General features: G+C 52.6%; 1 protein-coding gene and 1 pseudogene across 5 annotated transcripts, besides 6 other annotated features; one reads left to right on the plus strand and one right to left on the minus strand.

Moving 5' to 3' along the window:
* Positions 51-556: an enhancer, noted in NCBI's record as "H3K27ac-H3K4me1 hESC enhancer chr16:30906599-30907104 (GRCh37/hg19 assembly coordinates)". NCBI's record gives its function as "activates a minimal SCP1, AML or CMV promoter by ChIP-STARR-seq in naive H9 embryonic stem cells {active_cell/tissue: H9 hESC(naive)}" and the evidence as "EXISTENCE:reporter gene assay evidence [ECO:0000049][PMID:30033119]".
* Positions 557-1060: an enhancer, noted in NCBI's record as "H3K27ac-H3K4me1 hESC enhancer chr16:30907105-30907608 (GRCh37/hg19 assembly coordinates)". NCBI's record gives its function as "activates a minimal SCP1, AML or CMV promoter by ChIP-STARR-seq in naive H9 embryonic stem cells {active_cell/tissue: H9 hESC(naive)}" and the evidence as "EXISTENCE:reporter gene assay evidence [ECO:0000049][PMID:30033119]".
* Positions 619-8333, plus strand: CTF1 (cardiotrophin 1). Of its 5 annotated transcripts, none has more exons than XM_011545759.3 (3): positions 619-767; positions 4188-4306; positions 6851-8333. In XM_011545759.3, exons 1-3 carry the CDS (start codon positions 677-679, stop codon positions 7310-7312), a joined length of 672 nt encoding a protein of 223 aa, XP_011544061.1. In that variant the 5' UTR covers positions 619-676; the 3' UTR covers positions 7313-8333. The 5 variants fall into 5 exon arrangements, 4 of the variants coding, with proteins under 4 accessions (XP_011544061.1, XP_011544062.1, NP_001136016.1 ...); XM_011545760.3 differs by having other exon boundaries at positions 619-725; NR_165660.1 differs by lacking the exon at positions 619-767 and adding an exon at positions 1387-1441 and having other exon boundaries at positions 4080-4306.
* Positions 1924-1973: an enhancer, noted in NCBI's record as "active region_10736". NCBI's record gives its function as "activates an Ori minimal core promoter by ATAC-STARR-seq in GM12878 lymphoblastoid cells {active_cell/tissue: GM12878}" and the evidence as "EXISTENCE:reporter gene assay evidence [ECO:0000049][PMID:35858748]".
* Positions 6799-7298: a silencer, noted in NCBI's record as "silent region_7400". NCBI's record gives its function as "represses an Ori minimal core promoter by ATAC-STARR-seq in GM12878 lymphoblastoid cells {active_cell/tissue: GM12878}" and the evidence as "EXISTENCE:reporter gene assay evidence [ECO:0000049][PMID:35858748]".
* Positions 8860-9360: an enhancer, noted in NCBI's record as "H3K4me1 hESC enhancer chr16:30915408-30915908 (GRCh37/hg19 assembly coordinates)". NCBI's record gives its function as "activates a minimal SCP1, AML or CMV promoter by ChIP-STARR-seq in primed H9 embryonic stem cells {active_cell/tissue: H9 hESC(primed)}" and the evidence as "EXISTENCE:reporter gene assay evidence [ECO:0000049][PMID:30033119]".
* On the minus strand, positions 9021-15081 carry CTF2P (cardiotrophin 2, pseudogene; annotated as a pseudogene).
* Positions 9361-9861: an enhancer, noted in NCBI's record as "H3K4me1 hESC enhancer chr16:30915909-30916409 (GRCh37/hg19 assembly coordinates)". NCBI's record gives its function as "activates a minimal SCP1, AML or CMV promoter by ChIP-STARR-seq in primed H9 embryonic stem cells {active_cell/tissue: H9 hESC(primed)}" and the evidence as "EXISTENCE:reporter gene assay evidence [ECO:0000049][PMID:30033119]".

The raw sequence follows: 20894 nt of genomic DNA on the forward strand, positions 1-20894 counted from the left end.
GTCTTTGTTGACTTTATTTGAGGCTGGCTTGTCAGCAGATAAGACCATGTCAAAATTTGTGCTGCTGTTGTGTGTGTGTGTGTGTTTCAAGGTGTGGCTGTTGTGTCTGTGAATTTGGGCGTGACCATGTCCAGAGGTTAAGGGTATAAGGGGTTAGGAGCATGGTTAAGACAGCATTTTTTTGAGCCAAGCTGCTTAGGTAAAATCCCAGTTGTGCCACACCTAACTGTGTTACCCTGGACAAGTCACTTCTCTCTATTCCGCATCTATAACACAGGAGTTAGTTAATGTGCATATGGCTCTTAGAACAGTGCCCAGCACATGGTAAATGCCCAATAAATATTTACAGTTAATACACATGTGATTGTGGGCCCTACCAATTGTCTGGCTCAATTCTATCTGCTGTGCCCTCTCCAGTTAAACTCTTTCTTCTTTTATTCCAGCAATTGCTCACGGCAATACACACACCCACTCACACGAACACACGCACACACATGCACGCGCACATGCACACACGCGCACACCTGCACACTCACACGCACACAAATCCACTCGCACACACGCATGCTCACACGCACACACGTCCGCATGCACGCACACACGCAGACACACGCAAGCGCACACACACACGGGCCTCCTCGTCTTCATTCACAAACCCCATTAGCTTCTGTTGTCTATGGGCTTCCTCGACAGACCGCGAGCCCCTCGCGGGGGCCAGAAACCAAGTATGGATCATCCCTATGTGCCTTCCTTTCCGTCTACACCAGGTTAATGGGGTTGACGTATGGGTGTGACTTCCTGTCCAGGTCTCTGTAGCTTGTTCTCCTGGGGGTGGGGGGCGGGGTGTGATTGTTACTAGGCCTGCTAAGAAGAGGAGAGCAGTGTATCTGTCTCCCTCCTGGTGGGTGTGACAATGAGATTGGAAGCCATCTAAGATAGGCCAGGAGATGTATGTCTGGACAAACATGCCCCAAGCCTGACGGCCCCCATCGTAGCCTCCCTCGCAAGCCGCGCCCCAGACTAGAGAGAGGGCCTGCGCATTCCTGTCCTGCCAGTCCGGCAGTTCCCTCTCCTGTCTCCTCAGCTTTACACCCAAAGCAGCCGCTGCCTCAGGTCCAAGCCTGAGCCCGCGGCAGAACATTGGGCTGCCTCCCAGGCCCTGACACCCCCAGCCCCGAGGTCCTGTCCACCCGGCAGACAACTTGCCTTCCCCCTCGGGCCCCTTCCCCCACTAGGCCCCACGGACGAGGAGCTGAGCTCAGGGCCAAGGAATCCTGTCTCAAAAGGGGGGGTAGGATGAAATGTTTGGGGTCTGGGCTCTGATTGGCTGCGCCCGGGCCACGCCCCCAGCCCTTTCCCCTTTCTCCCCCCTCGAAAGGGGGGCGTGAAGGGAGCCGGGATCAGCCAGGGGCCAGCATGAGCCGGAGGGAGGGAAGTCTGGGTAAGGGGCTGAGGGACCGGACGCCGGGTCGCTGAGGGGCGCAGGAGTCAGAGGGATTGGGAGCTGGGGGTCTGGGTTTCCGCCACCCCCGGGTCCGGGAGGGGAGCGGCCTTGGCGGGGAAGGGCAGGGCTCCGGTGTCAGGTAACGAGTGAGCGGGTGAGTTGTGAGAAACAGCAGGCGCTAGGGTTTAGAGGAGGCCTGGGGCTGAGGTTTCAGGGACCTGGGCTCAGGGCTTAGATCACCGGTTCGAGTACACCCAGGGGGAGGACTGGGGTCGGGGCTGGGGCAGGACCCCTGCGTCCACTGAGTCTCGGGAAAGAATCAGAGCTGGGGGGCTGAAGGAAGGGGTAGAGTAAGGGAAGGCAGTCTTGGAGTCACAGGAAGTAGTGAGTGACAACAGGAGACGAAAGTCTGGGCTGCTGAGGATCGCGACTGGTGCTGGGAAACTTCGGGGGTGGGGCGGGGGCGGGGCACCGGGTCAGGACTACATTCCCCAGCACGCATCGGGCGCGCGCTGTGCGTTTCGGGAAATGGAGTCCCTCCCGGGGCGCCAGACACTGGCTCTTGCGGACCTTGATTCGCTGACTAGCCAGGCCAGCGCCTTGCATGGATGGGGCATCAGGGAGAGAAATGGAAATGGAAGTCAGTCTCCCTATCTGTAAAATGGGCCTTCAAGGCACATTTTGATATGAAGTTCTGTACTTCGATGATGTTGAAGTCCACTAGCAGTCACTGAGGTAGAAATATGTAAGCCCTGTCTTCAAAGGGCTCTCAGGCTAAGGCAGATACACACAGAAAAGCCGTTAAAAGAGCTACCCTGGAACTCATGCAAATGGCCTTAAGTCAAAGGAAGGAGTTCGTTTATAAAGGAGAAGTGATTCTGGAGGCTTCACTGAGGAGGCAGTACAGTCATGCACTGCATAACAACATTTGGTCAACAGGTGGACCGCACAGACAATGGAGGTCCCATAAGATTCTATGCATTTTTAGCCTGGGCAACATGGCGAAACCCTGTCTCTACAAAAAAATACAAAAATTAACCGGGCATGGTGGCGCATGCCTGTAGTCCCAGCTACACAGGAGACCCAGGCGGGAGGATCGCTTGAGCCCAGGAGGTCGAGGCTGCAGTGAGCCAAGATTGCACCACTGCACCCCATCCTGGGCGAAAGAGCAAGACTCCGTCTCTCTCTCTCTCTCTCTTTCTCTTTTGGGATGGAGTCTTTCTCTGTTGCCAGGCTGGAGTGCAGTGGCCTTGGCTCACTGCAACCTCTGCCTCCTGGGTTCAAGCAATTCTCCTGCCTCAGCCTCCCAAGTAGCTGGGACTACAGGCGTGTGCCACCAAGTCCAGCTAATTTTTTTTTTTTTGTATTTTTAGTAGAGATGAGGTTTCATCATGTTGGCTAGGATGGTATTGATCTCTTGACCTCGTGATCCACCTGCCTCAGCCCTCCAAAGTGCTAGGATTACAGGCGTGAGCCACTGCGCCTGGACAATTTTTTTTTTTTTTTTTGAGACGAAGTCTCGGTCTGTCACCCAGGCTGGAGTGCAGTGACCTGATCTCAGCTCAATGCAACCTCCTCCTCCCAGGTTCAAGCGATTCTCATGCCTCAGGCCCCCTGGTAGCTGGGATTACAGGCACCCACCATCATGCCTGACTAATTTTTGTATTTTTAGTAGAGACAGGGTTTCACCAGATGGTCCCGAACTCCTGACTTCAAGTGATCCGCCCGCCTCATCCTCCCAAAGTGTGGGATTAAAGGCGTGAACCACTGAGCCCAATGCCTGGCTAATTTTTGTATTTTTAGTAGAAACGGGGTTTCACCATGTTGGCCAGGCTGGTCTCAAACTCCTGACCTCAAGTGATCTGCCCATCTCGGGCTCCCAAAGTGCTGGGATTACAGGCGTGAGCCACCACGCCTAACCGATATATATTATATAATAAAATACATACCTATATATGTATTTTAACTGTAGCTTTTCTATGTTTTTATTTATTTATTTATTTAGAGATAGGGTCTTACTCTGTTGCCCAGGCTGGAGTGCAGTGGCACACTCACAGCTCACTGCAGCCTCGACCTCCCGGGGTTCAAGTGATCCTCTCATCTCAGCCTCTCAATTAGCTGGGACTACCGGCATGTGCCACTATGCCTGGCTTATATTTGTATTTTTTGTAAAGATGGGGTTTCACCATATCGCCCAGGCTGGTCCCAAACTCCTGGGCTCAAACAATCCACCTGCCTTGGCCTCCCGAAATGCTAAGATTACAGACATCAGCAATCTCACCTGGCCCTTTTCTATGTTTAGATACACAAATACCACTGTGTTCCAGTTGCCTGCTGTACTGTAACATGCTGTCCAGGTCTGCAGCCTAGGAACAATTGACTAACACCACATAGCCTGGGCGTGTAGCAGGCTGTACCACCTAGGTTTGTGTAAATACACTCTACGATGTATTTACGTACTCTACGATGAAATCGCCTAAGGATGCATTTCTCAGAATGTATCCATGTTGTTAAGCAAGGCATGACTGTCTTTGAATTTGACTTTAATAGGATTTCAACAGTGATTTGGGGACAGGCAATACATTTCAGGTAGACCACCTGCTTGACAAAGTTCTGGTGCCTCATTTTCCTTCAGTTGGAATGGGACAGACCCTGATGGGGTCAGGAACAAAGAGCCAGCGTGGGAGAGGTGATCAATGAGCAGGAGGTTGGCCATCCTCATTCCTCCCCCCTTTCCCACCAGAAGACCCCCAGACTGATTCCTCAGTCTCACTTCTTCCCCACTTGGAGGCCAAGATCCGTCAGACACACAGCCTTGCGCACCTCCTCACCAAATACGCTGAGCAGCTGCTCCAGGAATATGTGAGTGGGAATGGGGGTGGGGGTGCCGGGGGCCTGGGGAATGGGAGCAGACATCACAGAGGTCCTCGATCACCCATTCTCTCAACCTCATTTTCCAACTGTGGAAATCAGGGCTCCTGAGAGGGACAGCAACTTGCCCCTGGCCACACAGCAAATTGGAAGAGGACCCTGTCTGTGACCCAGATGCCACTCTGTCCTCTCCAGCTTAGAGGCACCCTCCTCAGTGCTTTGTTTTTGAGAGGAGGCCTCGCTCTGTCGCCCAGGCTGGAGTGCAGTGGTGCCATTATGGCTCATTGCAGCCTCAACCTCCTGGGCTTAAGCAATCCTCCTGCCTTAGCCTCTCAAGTAGGTGGGGCCACAGGCACACACCATCATGCCTGGGTAATTTTTTCATTATTTTGTAGAGGCAGGGTCTTGCTGTATTGCCCAGGCTGGTCTTGAACTCCTGGGCTCAAGTGACCTTGGTGCTTTAAGTCAGAGGTAGCCAGGTAGCCTGGGGCAGTGAAGAGAACTCTGATCTGTATCTCAGGAAACCGAGGTTCTAGGCTCTGCGTGACCTTGACACCTCCCCTCCATGGGCCTTGGTCTCTCCCCAACAGTAAAAGGAGGCAGCTAAATATGATTAACTCTGAACTCTCCCACCTGGGATATTCAGGGAAGCCAAGAAGAGGTTCCAATCTGGAGCAACAGTTATCCCAAGAGGGCACTTTCACAGAAGACAGGGATCTGCTGACATCTTTAGTTGGGCAGAGGACCCTGCCCAAGGAAAGAAAATATTTCCCCAAATTACCCTCGTGTAGTGAAGGGAGGGTATAGCTTTGAATCAGACTGCAGGCCTGCCAACTTGTTAACTGTGAGCTTGGGCAGTAACAATAACATTAAAAATAATAATGTAACAATTATGGCAGCGGATAGTGGGAGAATAGTGGCATAATAGAACTAGCTTTGGGCTGGGTGCGTTGGCTCATGCCTGTAATCCCATTGCTTTTGGAGGCTGAGGCAGGAGGATTGCTTGAGCTCGGGAGTTCGAGACCAGCCTGGGTAACACAGTGAGCCCTCATCTCTTAAAAAAGAAAAGAATAAAAGAAAAGAAAATAAAAAGGAAAAGAAAAAAATAGCCAGGCGTGGTGGTGTATGCCTGTGGTTCCATCTACTCAGGAGGCTGAGTGTGGAGGATTGCTTGAGCCCTGGAGGCTGTGTGATCAAACCATTGCTCTCCACCCTTGGCGACAGTGTGAGACCCCATCTATTTAAAACAAACAAAGAAAACTAGCTTTGTACTGCTATGAACTTTGGTTCAAATTCCAGCTCTGCCACTTCCTAGGGTAAGTCACTATAGTCACTGTATCTCCAGCCCAACATTTTTTTTTTTTTTTTGAAATGGAGTTTCGCTCTTGTGGCCCAGGTTGGAGTGCAATGGTGCGATCTCAGTTCACTGCAACCTCCGCCTCCCAGGTTCAAGGGATTCTTCTGCCTCAGTCTCCTGAGTAGCTGGGATTACAGTCACCACCACCATATCTGGCTAATTTTTGTATTTTTAGTAGAGATAGGGTTTCACCATGTTGGCCAGGTGGGTCTTGAACTCCTGACTTCAGCTGATCTGCCTGCCTTGGCCTCCCAGAGTGCCTGGATTACAGGCGTGAGTCACCGTGCCCAGCCCCACATTTATCTTTCATTTGTTCATTCATATGATGTTGATTCATTGAGCCCCTGCTCAATGCAGGTACAGAGGTTGGGGAGGATAGGGAAGGGAATGAAGCCCCCTTGGCCCCTGGACTATCTTATATGATTTCCATGAAGACAGGACAGGAAGCTTCCCCATTCATTGTACAGATGAGAAGGCTGAGGCTCAGAGAAGGGAAGTGGTTTTGCCCCAAACTGCACAGCTAGTAAGTGGTGAAGATAGGATTTGAACTCTGGTCTGTAAGGTAACTTTAATAAAAGAGCTGACATTTTTACTGAACTCTTCCTGGGACCAGGCCCTGTCTTGAACACTTGACATGGTCATAACTGCTTTATGAAGTTGCTGCTGTTATTAGGTCCTATTTATTTATTTATTGAGACAGGGTCTGACTCTCACCCAGGCTGGAGGGCAGTGGTGCCATCATAGCTCATTGAAGCCTTGACCTCCTGGGCTCAAGCAATCCTCCCACCTCAGCCTCAGCCTCCGGAACAGCTGGAACTACAGACATGCGCCACCACACTCGCTATTTTTTTTTTTTTTTTTTTTTTTAGAGCTGTGGTCTTGCTGTGTTGCCTAGGCTGGTCTCGAACCCCTGGGCTCAAGTGATTATCTCACCTTGGCCTCCCAAAGTGCTGACCTAAACTGGCCCAGTCTGGGTCCAGTTTAGGGAGGAAGAAACAGGCATTGGTGTCAAGCGCATGCCACTTTGTTTTGCCTTAAACAGAGCAGCTCTGTTAGGAGGGATTATCATCTGCAAGATGAGGAAACTGACACCCCCAGAGAGCGGGTTGGAGAGCCCAGTTAACAGCCCCCTGCCCGTGCTCCGGGGCCCCGCTGACCCGCCGGCCGTGTCTCCGCAGGTGCAGCTCCAGGGAGACCCCTTCGGGCTGCCCAGCTTCTCGCCGCCGCGGCTGCCGGTGGCCGGCCTGAGCGCCCCGGCTCCGAGCCACGCGGGGCTGCCAGTGCACGAGCGGCTGCGGCTGGACGCGGCGGCGCTGGCCGCGCTGCCCCCGCTGCTGGACGCAGTGTGTCGCCGCCAGGCCGAGCTGAACCCGCGCGCGCCGCGCCTGCTGCGCCGCCTGGAGGACGCGGCGCGCCAGGCCCGGGCCCTGGGCGCCGCCGTGGAGGCCTTGCTGGCCGCGCTGGGCGCCGCCAACCGCGGGCCCCGGGCCGAGCCCCCCGCCGCCACCGCCTCAGCCGCCTCCGCCACCGGGGTCTTCCCCGCCAAGGTGCTGGGGCTCCGCGTTTGCGGCCTCTACCGCGAGTGGCTGAGCCGCACCGAGGGCGACCTGGGCCAGCTGCTGCCCGGGGGCTCGGCCTGAGCGCCGCGGGGCAGCTCGCCCCGCCTCCTCCCGCTGGGTTCCGTCTCTCCTTCCGCTTCTTTGTCTTTCTCTGCCGCTGTCGGTGTCTGTCTGTCTGCTCTTAGCTGTCTCCATTGCCTCGGCCTTCTTTGCTTTTTGTGGGGGAGAGGGGAGGGGACGGGCAGGGTCTCTGTCGCCCAGGCTGGGGTGCAGTGGCGCGATCCCAGCACTGCAGCCTCAACCTCCTGGGCTCAAGCCATCCTTCCGCCTCAGCTTCCCCAGCAGCTGGGACTACAGGCACGCGCCACCACAGCCGGCTAATTTTTTATTTAATTTTTTGTAGAGACGAGGTTTCGCCATGTTGCCCAGGCTGGTCTTGAACTCCGGGGCTCAAGCGATCCTCCCGCTTCAGCCTCCCTAAGTGCTGGGATTGCAGGCGTGAGCCACTTTCCCAGCCTCTCTTTGCTTTGCCTGCCCCGTTCTCTTAACTCTTGGACCCTCCTCGTCTGCATGGTAACTCCGTCTGAGTCTACCATTTTCTTGCTCTCCCTCCTTCCTTGGGCCTGCCTCAGTTCCCTTTGGCCTCCCCCTTTACCCAGCTCTTGGGGTGTCTCTGTTTTTTCCATCCCCACTTCCTGCCTTCTCGTGGCCCTGTGTGAGCACATGTGTACATCTCAGCCTTATCTCAAGGAGGTGACACCTTCTCTCCTTGTCCCCATCTGGCTGTCTCTCTGTGCTTCCCTGGCCAGGGGCGTGCCTGCTGGTCCTATGGGGGGAAGGCTACTCTGCATCTCAGCCACCTTCCTCAGGCTCACTCCACCTACATCCCCAGTCTGCCACACCCCATCCCTTTGGGCCTCAGCCCTGTCCCTTTGATGTCCTCCTTTCCTTCAGCCCCTCTGCCCTGTCCCTGCACACCTCCACTGCCTCCCAGCAGATCTGTGGAGACAAAACAAGCAACACCTTAAAAGAGTTTTATTTCTGAAAATAAATTAATTTTTTGTAAATAAAATGTTTAAAAATAAAAAAGAAACTAAAGTTACTTGTATATATAGTTGTTGAAAATGGGGAGACAGCTTTAGGGAGAAAAGGACCCTTGGGATGCAGCCTAGTCCCCCAGACATGCCCAAGAAGCCCAGCAGTATAAATAGGAGGCTGACAGCCCCTGGCCAGTGGTGCCCTCTGCCAGCCCAGAACAGGAAGTGGATGTGTCCTAACAGGAAACAGATGTGATGCAGTCCTTAGTTCTTCAAGAATTGGGCTTCCATGGATCAGGAAGTGGAGCCCCTGAGGACAGGAAGTGGAACAGTAGCCCCAGAGAGACAGGCCAAGGAGGGGAGCCAATGAACTTCAGCAGGAAGAAGGAAGCCTATCCGCTTAGAAAGGCGGGCTCTTCATACAGCGAATGAGGCAGACAGAGACAGGAAGGCAGCCCCAACCGTCCCAAAATTACAAAAAAGGGAAGGTCTCAGGGAGAGCCTAGGAAGGGGACCAACTGTCCTCTCCCTGTAGAGTGACAGGTGAAGCCTCTTTGGAGAGGTGCATCTTTCCAACCAGGAAGTGGACACCCAGTACCACTGGATGGGTAACCCATGGAATGGCATCCATGGAGGTTGACCCAGACCTAGAACGCAGGCCAGAGGACCTGGGCCGGAAGGCCCTGAAATAAGGAAATTGAGGCCTGGCTCCCAGGAAATATTCCCATACATGGCACCCAAGCCCCATCTGCTAGATGAGGTTTATCTCCTTTTCTAGCCCACAAGCAAGGCAGAAAAGAGGCCATTGTGAAAGAGGAAGTGCTGCAGCCTCTGACAGGAAGTCCTACCCCTCTATGCTGAGTACTTAGCCTTGAGCAGAGCCAAGTCTCTCACAGCTCGGTCTGTCCAGTGGCCATATTCCCGGGTCACCACGTAGCCTCGACATTTCCTCTCAAAGGCCGAGGCCCCAAAGGCAGCAAGCCCTAGAGTATCCTCTTCTGGGGGGATTGGCAGCCCCAGGGCCGTCATGATGGCGGCCATATTGCCCAGCAGGCCTTGGGCCCTGAGTCTCGCAGCCCCGAGCTGAGCCGGCAGGATGGGACTGCCAGGGTTCAGGTCGCTCTGGTCGTCCTCCACGAGCTGGAGGTGCTGGGTCAATGGCCCTCTGGGCAAGGCTCAGCCGTTCCCCGTCATCCAGGGCGTGCCAGGTCTTAAAGAAGGCGGTGGCAGGAGGCAGGCTGCTGAGCTGGAGCTCAGGGGCTGAGAAGCCAGGGTCACTAAAGGGGCTGCCCTGGTACTGGAGCTGCAGGAGGGACAGAGACAGACAGGAGTGAGGGGACCAGAGCGGTGCCTGGGACTCTGACTTCACGCCTGCCCACTGAGACTGGCTTCTTCCCAGGAGTCGTCACTTGCTGCGTCTCAGGGAGCTGCTGGGATGTCCTGACACAGGGCAAGGGCCCTAGGAGGCTCAGGTGTGTCATCCTCTGCACGCTAGCTGTGCAACGTGGAGTCACAAGCTTCAGAAATTCCCACCTGGCAGTGTTATGAAGATTATAGGAAATAATATATATAAAGCCCTTAGCAGGCCGGGCACGGTGGCTCACAGCTGTAATCCTGGCACTTTGGGAAGCCGAGATGGGTAGATCACTTGAGGTCAGGAGTTTGAGACCAGCCTGGTTAATATGCCAAAACCCTGTCTCTACTAAAAATACAAAACTTAGCCAGCTGTGGCAGTGCACGCCTTCTATGCCAGCTACTCAGGAGGCTGAGGCACGAGAATCACTTGAACCCAGGAGGCAGAGGTTGCAGTGAGCCGAGATCATACCACTGCACTCTAGCCTGGGCGACAGAGTGAAACTGTAAAAAAAAAAAAAAAAAAAGCACTTAGCACAGAGTCTAATATACAATACAGCATCTGATATACAATAAGGGTGTGATAAGCCATCATTAATAATATATTTATATTAATATCAATGAACACTATGATTACATTATTTACTGTAATGTTTTCTTTTCTTTTATTATTTATTTATTTATTTTGATACAGAGTTTTGCTCTTGTTGCCCAGGCTGGAATGCAATGGTGCGATCTTGACTTACTACAACCTCTGCCTCCCAGGTTCAAGCGATTCTCCCGCCTCACCCCCCAAGTATCTGGAAACCCACATTACAGGCACACGCCACCACACTTGGCTAATTTTGTATTTTCACTATGTTGGTCAGGCTGGTTTCGAACTCCTGACCTCAGGTGATCTACCTGTCTCAGCCTCCTAAAATGCTGGGATTACAGGCACGAGCCACCACACCCAGCCAACTGTAATATTTTAAACCAAGTATATTATTGACAATGTAGTTACAGCCTGGTATCTTTTTTATTTATGGCATTTAGTTATGTTTGTTTACTTTATTTTATTTTATTTTATTTCATTTATTTCCCGAGATGGAGTCTTGCTCTGTCGCCCAGGCTGGAGTGCCTTGGCATGATCTCTGCTCACTGCAACCTCCGCCTCCCGGGTTCAAGCAATTCTCCTGCCTCAGCCTCCCAAGTAGCTGGGATTACAGATATGTGCCACCACTCCCAGCTAATTTTTGTATTTTTAGTAGAGATGGAGTTTCACCATGTTGGCCAGGCTGGTCTCGAACTCCTTACCTCAAGTGATCCACCCCACCTCAGCCTTCCAAAGTGCTGGGATTATAGGTGTAAGCCACAGCCTCCAGCCCTGGGACCTTAGTGCACACTGATAGATGTCCTAACTGGCAGATTGCCTGGTCCCATTTTACAAGTGGAAAAACTGAGGCTAAGGGTGCCCAAGGCTATCCAGGGAATAGTGACAGCTGTGGGACTAGAAACTAGGTCGAAAGGTTCAGTCACTTCACAGGGGCCAGAAATCTGGCCCAGAGAAAGAGCTCCAGATGTCAGGGGCTCCAGGGCCAGGCAGATCGTGTCAGTTGTGAAGAAGGCAGGACTACGATGCCAGGTGGGAGTTTTGACCAACAGTATCCCTGTGCCTGCTATAGACAGGCATTCCATTCATATTCAAACTTTGAACAGGAGCTGTATGGGCCAAACAAAAAAACAGCTGTGGGTCAGACTCAGCCAGCAGGCTTCCAGCTTTAACTTTGAGATGGTGTAGAAGGCCATGGAAAGGGGAGGAAATTCCACAGACCTGGCTTCAGATCCTGGCACTGCCAGTTATTAGCTCTGTGACCTCAGGCAAATTATTCACCCCCCTCTAAGACTCAGTTTCTTCACCTGTAAAATGGATTATAATTCCACCTGCTAGAACTGTTTGAAGAGTCAGTAAGATAATGGGGGTAAAGGACAGGCACAGTGGCTCACGTCTGTAATCCCAGCACATTGGGAGGCTAAGGCAGGTGGATCAGTTGAGGCCAGGAGTTCAAGACCAGCCTGGCCAATATGGTGAAACCCTGTCTCTACTAAAAATACAAACATTAGCCAGGCGTGGTGACATGCACCTGTAATCCCAGCTACTCGGGAGGCTGAGGGACAAGAATCACTTGAACCCGGGAGGTGGACGTTGCAGTGGCCGAGATCACACCACTGCACTCCAGCCTGGGTGACAGACATTGGGGGTAGAGTGCCAAGCAGGCATGGGCCCAGGTAATCACACAGCATGAATGGTGAGGAATTAAATGTGGCTGTGTAAAGCCCTTCTCTCTCGGTGTGTCCTTTGAACACTGTCACAGTCCTAGGAGGTCAGCAAAGGCACGCTCAGCATCCCATTTTGCAGATGAGAAAGCTGAGACCAAGAGAGGAAGAATGACTTGCCTAAGGTCACCCAGCCACCAGTGACATGAGTGGCACAAGTGAGTGTGGCTCTAGTGAACACTAGAGTGTTACAGGCATCCCTGTCCCCTCGGGCCATGGAGGAGTCTTCTGGACTTGCTCTGCTCACCCTACCCATGGCAGGGCCTGGGAGGCAGCATCCCTCTCCCCTCGTCCCCTGCTCATGCCCCTTGTCATTCACATAAGTCCGCAGCAGCGCTGAGGTGTTCTTCTGCATGTAGAGGGCCAGGCTATAGGCTTGACTGATGGGCTCAGCTGGGGAGATGGAGGCTGCTGAGCTGAGGGGTGGCGACAGCAGGGTCAGCAGGCAGAGGCGGGCTGGCAGAGGAAGCCGGAGGTCAGCACCAAGGCCTCGACCCTGCCTCCGATTCATTCATTCATCTCCACAACTCCGGAAAAGGTCCCATCCCTTGTGGGCTACAGCGATCTTGCATGTCCAAGTCAGTGACAAACCCTCCTGCAGGTAGATTATCCTGGCCCAGAACCCTCTGAACTCCAGGCTCATTGATTCAGCTACTTGACATTTTCAATTGAATATTAGTAAGCATCTCAAACCCAAAATATCCAGGGTTTAATTCTGGAATATTCCCCCCAAGCCCCTCCTCTCCTAGGCTCCCCTGTCTCAGGTAAAGGCATTTCAATTCTTCCAATTGTTCAGGCCAAAGTCATGGTGTGCTCTTTGATGCTTCATTTTTTTTCTTACTCTACACACCCAATCCCACAGGAAATCCTGCTAGCTCTATGCTTTAAAGGCAGCCAGCACAAGTGTGAATTTTTTCCTTCTTTTAGAGATGGCGTCTTGCTCTGTCACCCAGGCTGGAATATAGGGGTGTGATCATAACTCACTGCAGCCTCGAATTCCTGGGAGCAGGCGATCCTCCCACCTCAGCCTCCCAAGTAACTGGGACTACAGATCCACACCACCACACTCAGTTAATTTTTTAAATTTTATGTGGAGACAGGGTCTCGCTATGTTGCCCAGACTGGTCTCCAACTCCCGGCCTCAAGCAATCCTCCTGCCTCGGCCTCCCAGAGTGCTGGGATTACAGGTTTGAGCCACTCCACCTGGCTGCATGCTTATTTTAAATGTAAATAGATGCTGCCAAATTGTCCTCTCAAAGATCTGGTCCAAGCTGGGCGCAGTGGCTCATGCCTATAATCCCAGCACTTTGGGAGGCCAAGGCGGGTGGACCACAAGGTCAGGAGTTCGAGACCAGCCTGGCCAATATGGTGAAACCCTGTCTCTACTAAAAATACAAAAAAATTAGCCAGGCGTGGTGGCAGGTGCCTGTAATCCCAGCTACTCAGAAGGCTGAGGCAGGAGAATTGCTTGAACCTGGGAGATGGAGGTTGCAGTGAGCCAAGATCAAGCCACTGAACTCCAGCCTTGGTGACGCAGTGAGACTCTGTCTCAAAAAAAAAAAAAAAAAAAAAAAGGCCGGGCACGGTGGTTTATGCCTGTAATCCCAGCACTTTGGGAGGCCGAGGCTGGCAGATCACGAGGTCAGGAGTTCAAGACTGGCCTTGCCCACATGGTGAAACCCCATTTCTACTTAAAAATGCAAAATTAGCTGGGCATGGTAGTGTGTGCCTGTAATCCCAGCTACTCAGGAGGCTGAGGCTGGTGAATCGCTTGAACCCAGGAGGCGGAGGTTGCAGTGAGCTGAGCTCTCGCCATTGCACTCCAGCCTGGGTAATAGAGTGAGACTTCGTCTCAAAAAAAAAAAAAAAAGAAGAAGAAGATCTGGTCCAGTTTATGTTTCTACCAACAGTGTGAGGCTCGGAGAGGAGGAGAATGACCTAAGGTCACCACCCAGGAGAAACAGAGATGAGAGGCAAACCCAGGGCGGCCTCCTTCATCCCCCTTGCCACATTCCTGAGTTCCCAGAGTTCAGTAGCAACTCAGAGAAGCCTGAGAGGGAAGACCATTTCATTCCTTCATTTCACAAACTTCGGGCTTGCAGTGGTTCACACCTGCAATCCCAATATTTTGGGAAGATCGCTTGAGCCCCAAGTTCGAGACCAGCCTGAGCAACACAGGAGATCCCATCTCTAGAAAAAGTTAAAAAAAAAATATGTCAGGTGCAGTGGTTCATGCCTGTAATCTCAGCACTTTGGGAGGCCGAGGCAGGTAGATCACTTGAGGTCAGGGGTTCGAGACCAGCCTGGCCAACATGGTGAAACCCTGTCTCTACTACCAATACAAAAATTAGCCAGCCGTGGTGGTGGGCACCTGTAATCCCAGCTACTCGGGAGTCTGAGGCAGGAGAATCACTTGAACCCAGGAGGCAGAGGTTGCAGTGAGCTGAGATCATGCCACTGCACACCAGCCTGGGCAACAGAGCAAAAACTCCGTCTCAAAAAAAAAAAAGAATTAGCATAACCTGGTGTCGTACACCTGTGGTCCCAGCTATTCAGGAGGCTGAGGCAGGAGGATCACCTGAGCCCTGGAGTTTAAGGCTGCAATGTGCAAAGATTCTGCCACTGCACTCCAGCCTGGGCCACAGAGCAAGACCCTGTTTCAAAAACCAAACAAACCAACAAAAAAAGCCACAGTTGGATCACTGCACCACTTTCTGTCACACTAGCTTTACAATTTTCTTGTTAGTACACATATTATGTGTCTGCAGAATGAAATTTCCATGAGGCCATGGATTTTTGTCTGTTTGTTCACTGCTGTCTCCCCAGATGCTTCCAACAGTACCTAGCACATGATAGGCATTCAATAAATATGTGTTGAATTAATGATGAAGGAAGCCTTGATGTAGGGGGATTTGGAGGTTTTCAGCAGGTGCAAAGAGAGCTGGACACCTGAGTCAGAGAGAGGAGGGGCTCTGCGGGTCCCCCTGTCCTGTGTCTCTGGGGCCTGGCGCTCCTGCCCCTCACTCACCCAGTGAACAGCTCATGCTCTCTCCTCGGCTTCTTCCTCTCTGCAGCCTCTGGGTCTTTCAGGACACCTGTCCTTCTGCCCCTCAGGTGTCTTTATACCTGGGGCTGAGCCCTGGGGTGGCCCAAGAGGGAGGGAGGGAGTCACATCCTGGGGAGAGGGGCAGGAGCAGGCAGGGCCCTGGCAAAGAATGAGAGACAGACCTGGCCACCAGACAGGACAGGGAGCGGGTGGGAGGACCCAGAAGGGGGACATATGTTCCGCACGGGGAGGCCTCGTGTGCAGAAGCCCCAGAGGAAGGAAATGGGTAGGGAAGGGGACACAGATGGGACCCCCAGGCCCCTCCAGCTCCCAAACTCGACCCTAAACCCTGGTGGCTGGGAGGGAGGGGGCGAGGGCGTGATGGGGATTATCCAGGGACAAAGGGGCCGCCCCGCTCCCTGCTGTTCTGCAGGTCCTGGGATCCAGTTTCCCAGAGGAGGCCGCCCCCTGCTCCGCCCCACAGGGACCCAGGCGCTGGGCCCGGGCTCCCAAGGAGTTTGGAAAAAGGACAGGAGGGATGGTGTGTGAGCAACATCATCGTCCACACCCAGGTTCACCCTTAGGCACAGGAACAGTCACACGTCTACACAGGCATTGGCACGTGGGCACACACAGGCATGAGCACACACTTTCATGCGCTCATTCATTCAGGACTTATGGGCCCTGACTGTGCACCAGTCCCTGTTTTAAGTGCTGGGGACAGAGTATGGAACAAGACAGACAAAAATCCGTGCCCTCGTGGAGCTGACACTTTAGTAGACATGGGTACATATATGTGGGATCATGCCAGGCCTACACACATCACACACACAGTCCCAGACACACGCGTGCACACAGGGGAACCCATAGTGCATCCCTGGGGGCCCAGCCAGAGGCACCTACACAGAGCAGACGTGGGACACACACCTCATGCCCATAGATGCACGCAGAGGTGGGGACCAGGGGTCATGGGATCTGGCCACGTCTTAGCCTCTGATACACTAGGAGATCTCCTCCCTCTGCCCAGGCACAACACACTTGGACTTACACACACACACCTAAGACACTGTCCCTCGGGGAAGCCTTGCAGCAGAGGGGCAGGGTCGGAGAGGCAGATGCTGGGTTCTGGTCTTTCTCCAGTACTCCCCCAAACTCTCCATCATGGAACCAATGTTAAGTTCTCATCCCTGCCACCCCCTGAGTCAGGCAGTGATCGGTCAGACTCCCACCCTAGTGGGCTGGAATACTGCTCCACCCTAGCTTCCCTGGTCAGGTGGTAACCTGGAGGCAGAGGGGCCCACACAGTCACTCAAGAGGTGTTTTATTTTTATTTTTATTTTTTATTTTTGCGACGGAGTCTCACTCCGTCGCCCAGGCTGAAGTGCAGTGGCACGATCTCGGCTCACTGCAACCTCTGCCTCACCTCCCAGGTTCAAGTGATTCTTCTGCCTCAGCCTCCCGAGTAGCTGGGATTACAGGCAAGTGCCACAACGCCCAGCTAACTTTTATATTTTTAGTACAGACAGGGTTTCGCCATGTTGGTCAGGCTGGTCTCGAACTCCTGACCTTGTGATCCGCCCGCCTCAGCCTCCCAAAGTGCTGGCATTACAGACGTGAGCCACTGTGCCCGGCCAACAGGTGTTTTTTTTTTAAGAGACAGGGTCGGCCCGGCCGGACACAGTGGCTCACGCCTGTAATCCCAGCACTTTGGGAGGCCGAGGCGGGCGGATCACCTAAGGTCGGGAGTTTGAGACCAGCCCGACCAACATGGAGAAACCCCGTCTCTACTAAAAATACAAAATTAGCCGGGCATGATGGCGCATGCCTGTAATCCCAGCTACTTGGGAGGCTGAGGCAGGAGAATTGCTTGAACCTGGGAGGCAGAGGTTGCAGTGAGTCGAGATCACACCATTGCACTCGAGCCTGGGCAACAAGAGCGAAACTCCGTCTCAATAAAAAAGAAAAAAAAAAAGGCTGGGCGCAGTGTCTCACGCCTGTAATCCCAGCACTTTGGGAGGCTGAGGCGGGCGGATCACGAGGTCAGGAGATCGAGACCATCCTGACTAAAAAACAGTGAAACCCCGTCTCTACTAAAAATACAAAAAATTAGCTGGGTGTGGTGGCGGGCACCTGTAGTCCCAGCTACTCAGGAGGCTGAGGCAGGAGAATGGTGTGAACCCAGGAGGTGGAGCTTGCAGTGAGCTGAGATCACGCCACCGCACTCCAGCCTGGGCCACAGAGCAAGAATCCGTCTCAAAAAAAAAAAAAAAAAAAAAAAAAAAGAGACAGGGTCGGCTGGGCGTGGTGGCTCATACCTGTAATCTCAGAAATTTGGGAGGCTGAAGTGGGTGGATCACTTGAGGTCAGGAGTTTGAGACCAGCTTGGCCAACATGGTGAAACCCTGTCTCTACTAAAGATATAAAAATATTAGACAGGTGTGGTGGCACAGGCCTGTAATCCCAGTTACTAGGGAGGCTGAGGCAGGAGAATCACTTGAACCTGGGAGGCGGAGGTTGGAGTGAGCTGAGATCGTGCCACTGCACTCCAGCCTGGGTGACAAAGCAAGACTCCATCTCAAAAAAAACAAAAAAAAAAAAGAGAGAGAGACAGGGTCTTGCTCTGTTCCCTAGGCTGGACTGCAATGGCACCATCATAGCTCACTGTAGACTCCACCTCCCAGGCTCAAGTGATCCTCCCACCTTGGCCTTTCAAAATGTTGGGATTACAGGTGTGAGCCACTGCACCTGACCCCAGTAGCTATTAACACAGCACCTACTGTGTGCCAGCACCAGGGTGAATAATGAGGCAGGTAAGGTCCCTGCCTCACGGGTACACAGTCTGGTCGGGGAGACCAGCACGAAACATGTGAATTAACACACAGCAAGGTTTCCTAAAGTGACATGGTGCTGAGAAGAAGCCCAGACAGGTTGGTGTGATGAGCTGGGTGTTCGGAATACTTAGATAAGGAGCCTGAGGCCCAGAAAGGGGCGGCTACTTACCTGGAGTCACACAGCAGAGTCAGGGCAGATGCTGGACTCCTGTCCCCAGCTTGGGGCTGGCTGTGGGGTTCCAGATCTGAACTGTGAGCTGAAGGAAGGAGGAGGTTGAAGGAAAAGATGGATTCTGAGGTGAGGGGTCCTAAACAGGCTCTCCAAGGCTGGGGGCTGCTAGGGCTGGCCGGCAGGGCCTGTGCCAGGCAGGTGGTGATATCAGGGGATTATAGGAGGCCCATTAAGTGGGTGCACCGAGGCATGGGCCGTGCCATGGTAGTAGAGCAGGGGGAAGAGGAGGTACAGGAGGGGGAGAGTGAGGCAGATACTCGATCTGGTACTATTCACAGGTGGACGGCCTACATGGGGCAGGCCTCACCTGGGAGGGCAGGCTAACCCCACCAGAGCCCACCACCACCCGCCTCTCTCTGGGGCTTCCCTTTCTCTCTCTCTGACCCCCACCCCAGGTGGCTTTTGTTTTTGTTTTTGTTTTTTGAGACGGAGTCTCGCTCTGTTGCCCATGCTGGAGTGCAGTGGCATGGTCTAGGCTCACTGCAACCTCCACCTCCTGGGTTCACACCATTCTCCTGCCTCAGCCTCCCGAGTAGCTGGTACTACAGGTGCCTGCCACCACGCCCGGCTAATTTGTTGTATTTTTAGTAGAGACGGGGTTTCATTGTGTTAGCCAGGATGGTCTCGATCTCCTGACCTCGTGATCCACCCTCCTCGACCTCCCAAATTGCTGGGATTACAGGCGTGAGCCATGGGCCTGTCTTTTTTTTTTTTTTTTTTTTTTTTTGAGATGGAATCTTGCTCTGTCACCCAGGCTAGAGTGCAGTGGTGTGATCTCGGCTCACTGCAACCTCCACCTCCTGGGTTCAAGTGATTCTCCTGCCTCAGCCTCCCAAGTAGCTGGGATTACAGGCACATGCCACCACACCTGGCTAATTCTTATATTTTTAGTAGAGACGGGGTTTCACCATGTTGGCCAGGCTGGTCACAAACTCCTGACCTCAAGTGATCCTCCTGCCTTGGCCTCCCAAAGTACTGGGATTACAGGCGTGAGCCACCACGCCCAGCCCCCTCAAGGTGCTCTTCACATCTGGAGGAATTAGCCGCATCCCAGGCCCAGCTCTGTTGTCCAAGGCATCTGTCTCGGTAGAGGTCAGAGGTCAGCAGCTCTGCCCCCTCTACCCCCATCGTGCCCCACCCTGCAGGCCAGCTCATCTTCTGTTTTGGTTACACCAGAAGCTGAATTCTTGGGAATCCCAGCAATTTAGGAGGCAGTGGGCTTCGGTTCAAGTCCTGCCTTTGTTCATCTTTTTTGTTTGTTTGTTTTGAGACAGTCTCACTCTGTCACCCAGGCTGGAGTGCAGTGATCTTGGCTCACTGCAACCTCTGCCTCCCAGGTTCAAGCAATTCTCGAGCCTCAGCTTCCCAAGTAGCTGGGATTACAGGTGTGTGCCACCAGGCCCGGCTAATTTTTTGTATTTTTAGTAGAGACGGGATTTTGCCATGTTGGTCAAGCTGGTCTTGAACTCCTGGCCTCAAGCAATCTGCCCGCCTTAGCCTCCCAAAGTGCTGGGATTACAGGCATGAGCCACTGCGCCCAGCTCCTGCCTTTGTTTATCACTAGCTTGGACAAGTTCCTTAACCTCTCTGAGCCTCAGTTTGCTCCCTTATCTGGAAACTGGGATAATAATTCCCACTCACAGGTTCTAACTCACAGGGCACACCCACCAAGTGCCCTGACCCCTCCTATGAGGCCTCTCCTGGGCTTGTCAAGGGTTGCCCCAGTAACATATAATGCCGCCAACCAATGGCAAAGACTCAATGTCCCATGAGCCTGTGCCTGGAGCCCAGCCCCATGCCCCGGCTACACATGTGCTCCCAAGAGATCTGGTACCTTTGCTCAAGCATGACCCAGTGTTGTCCAGAAAACCACACAGTGGGGCCCATTCAGAACAGAGGCAAGGGTGCTGGGCGCAGTGTCTCACACCTGTAGTCTTAGCACTTTGGGAGGCTAAGGTGAGGGGATCGCTTGAGGTCAGGAGTTCAAGACCAGCCTGGGCAGCATAGCAAGACTCCTGTCTCTACAAAAAAATACAAAAATTAGCCAGGCAAGGTGGTGTGCACCTGTAGTCCTAGCTACTCGGGAGGCTGAGATGGGAGGATTACTTGAGCCTGGGAGGTCAAGGTTTCAGTGAGCTGTGATCACCCCACTGCACTCCAGCCTGGGTGACAGAGTGAGATCCTGTATTTAAAAAAAAAAAAAAAGGCCGGGAACGGTGGCTCACACCTGTAATCCCAGCACTTTGGGAGGCTGAGGTGGGCAGATCACAAGGTAGGAGTTTGAGACCAGCCTGGCCAACATGATGAAACCCCATCTTGAACCCGGGAGGTGGAGGTTGCAGTGAGCTGAGATTGCGCCACTGCACTCCAGCCTGGGCGACAGAGCAAGACTCTGTCTCAAAAAAGAAAAAAAAATAGTACTTAAGAAAAAGATTAATAACGTTATCATTATTGTTAAAATACCTGTTCATTAGAAAACTTGAAGCAGATCATAAATGAACAAAGAAGAAACCAACAAACCACCCTATTTTACCACCCAGAAATAACTATGACTGTTAACATTTAGTGAGCATCATTCTAGACACCTGATCAGATAAATAGAAAAAGATTTTATGACAATCAATTAATACTAGATATCCTATTTTTAAAATTACATTTAACTTTATTTGAATTTAACAAAAGGAACAGAAATAGAAGTTTAATTGAAAGAACTGTGGAACTTCAGATAAATGTTTCTTCACTATAAATAATATTTCCTGTAAGATTCTTCCAAGTTTAAAAAAAAAGATTTGAAAACCATGAAGGATAAACTCATTATTTATTTATTTATTTAATTTTATTTTTGTGA

This window comes from Homo sapiens, chromosome 16 (assembly GCF_000001405.40).
Source record: "Homo sapiens chromosome 16, GRCh38.p14 Primary Assembly".
Lineage (NCBI taxonomy): Eukaryota > Metazoa > Chordata > Mammalia > Primates > Hominidae > Homo > Homo sapiens.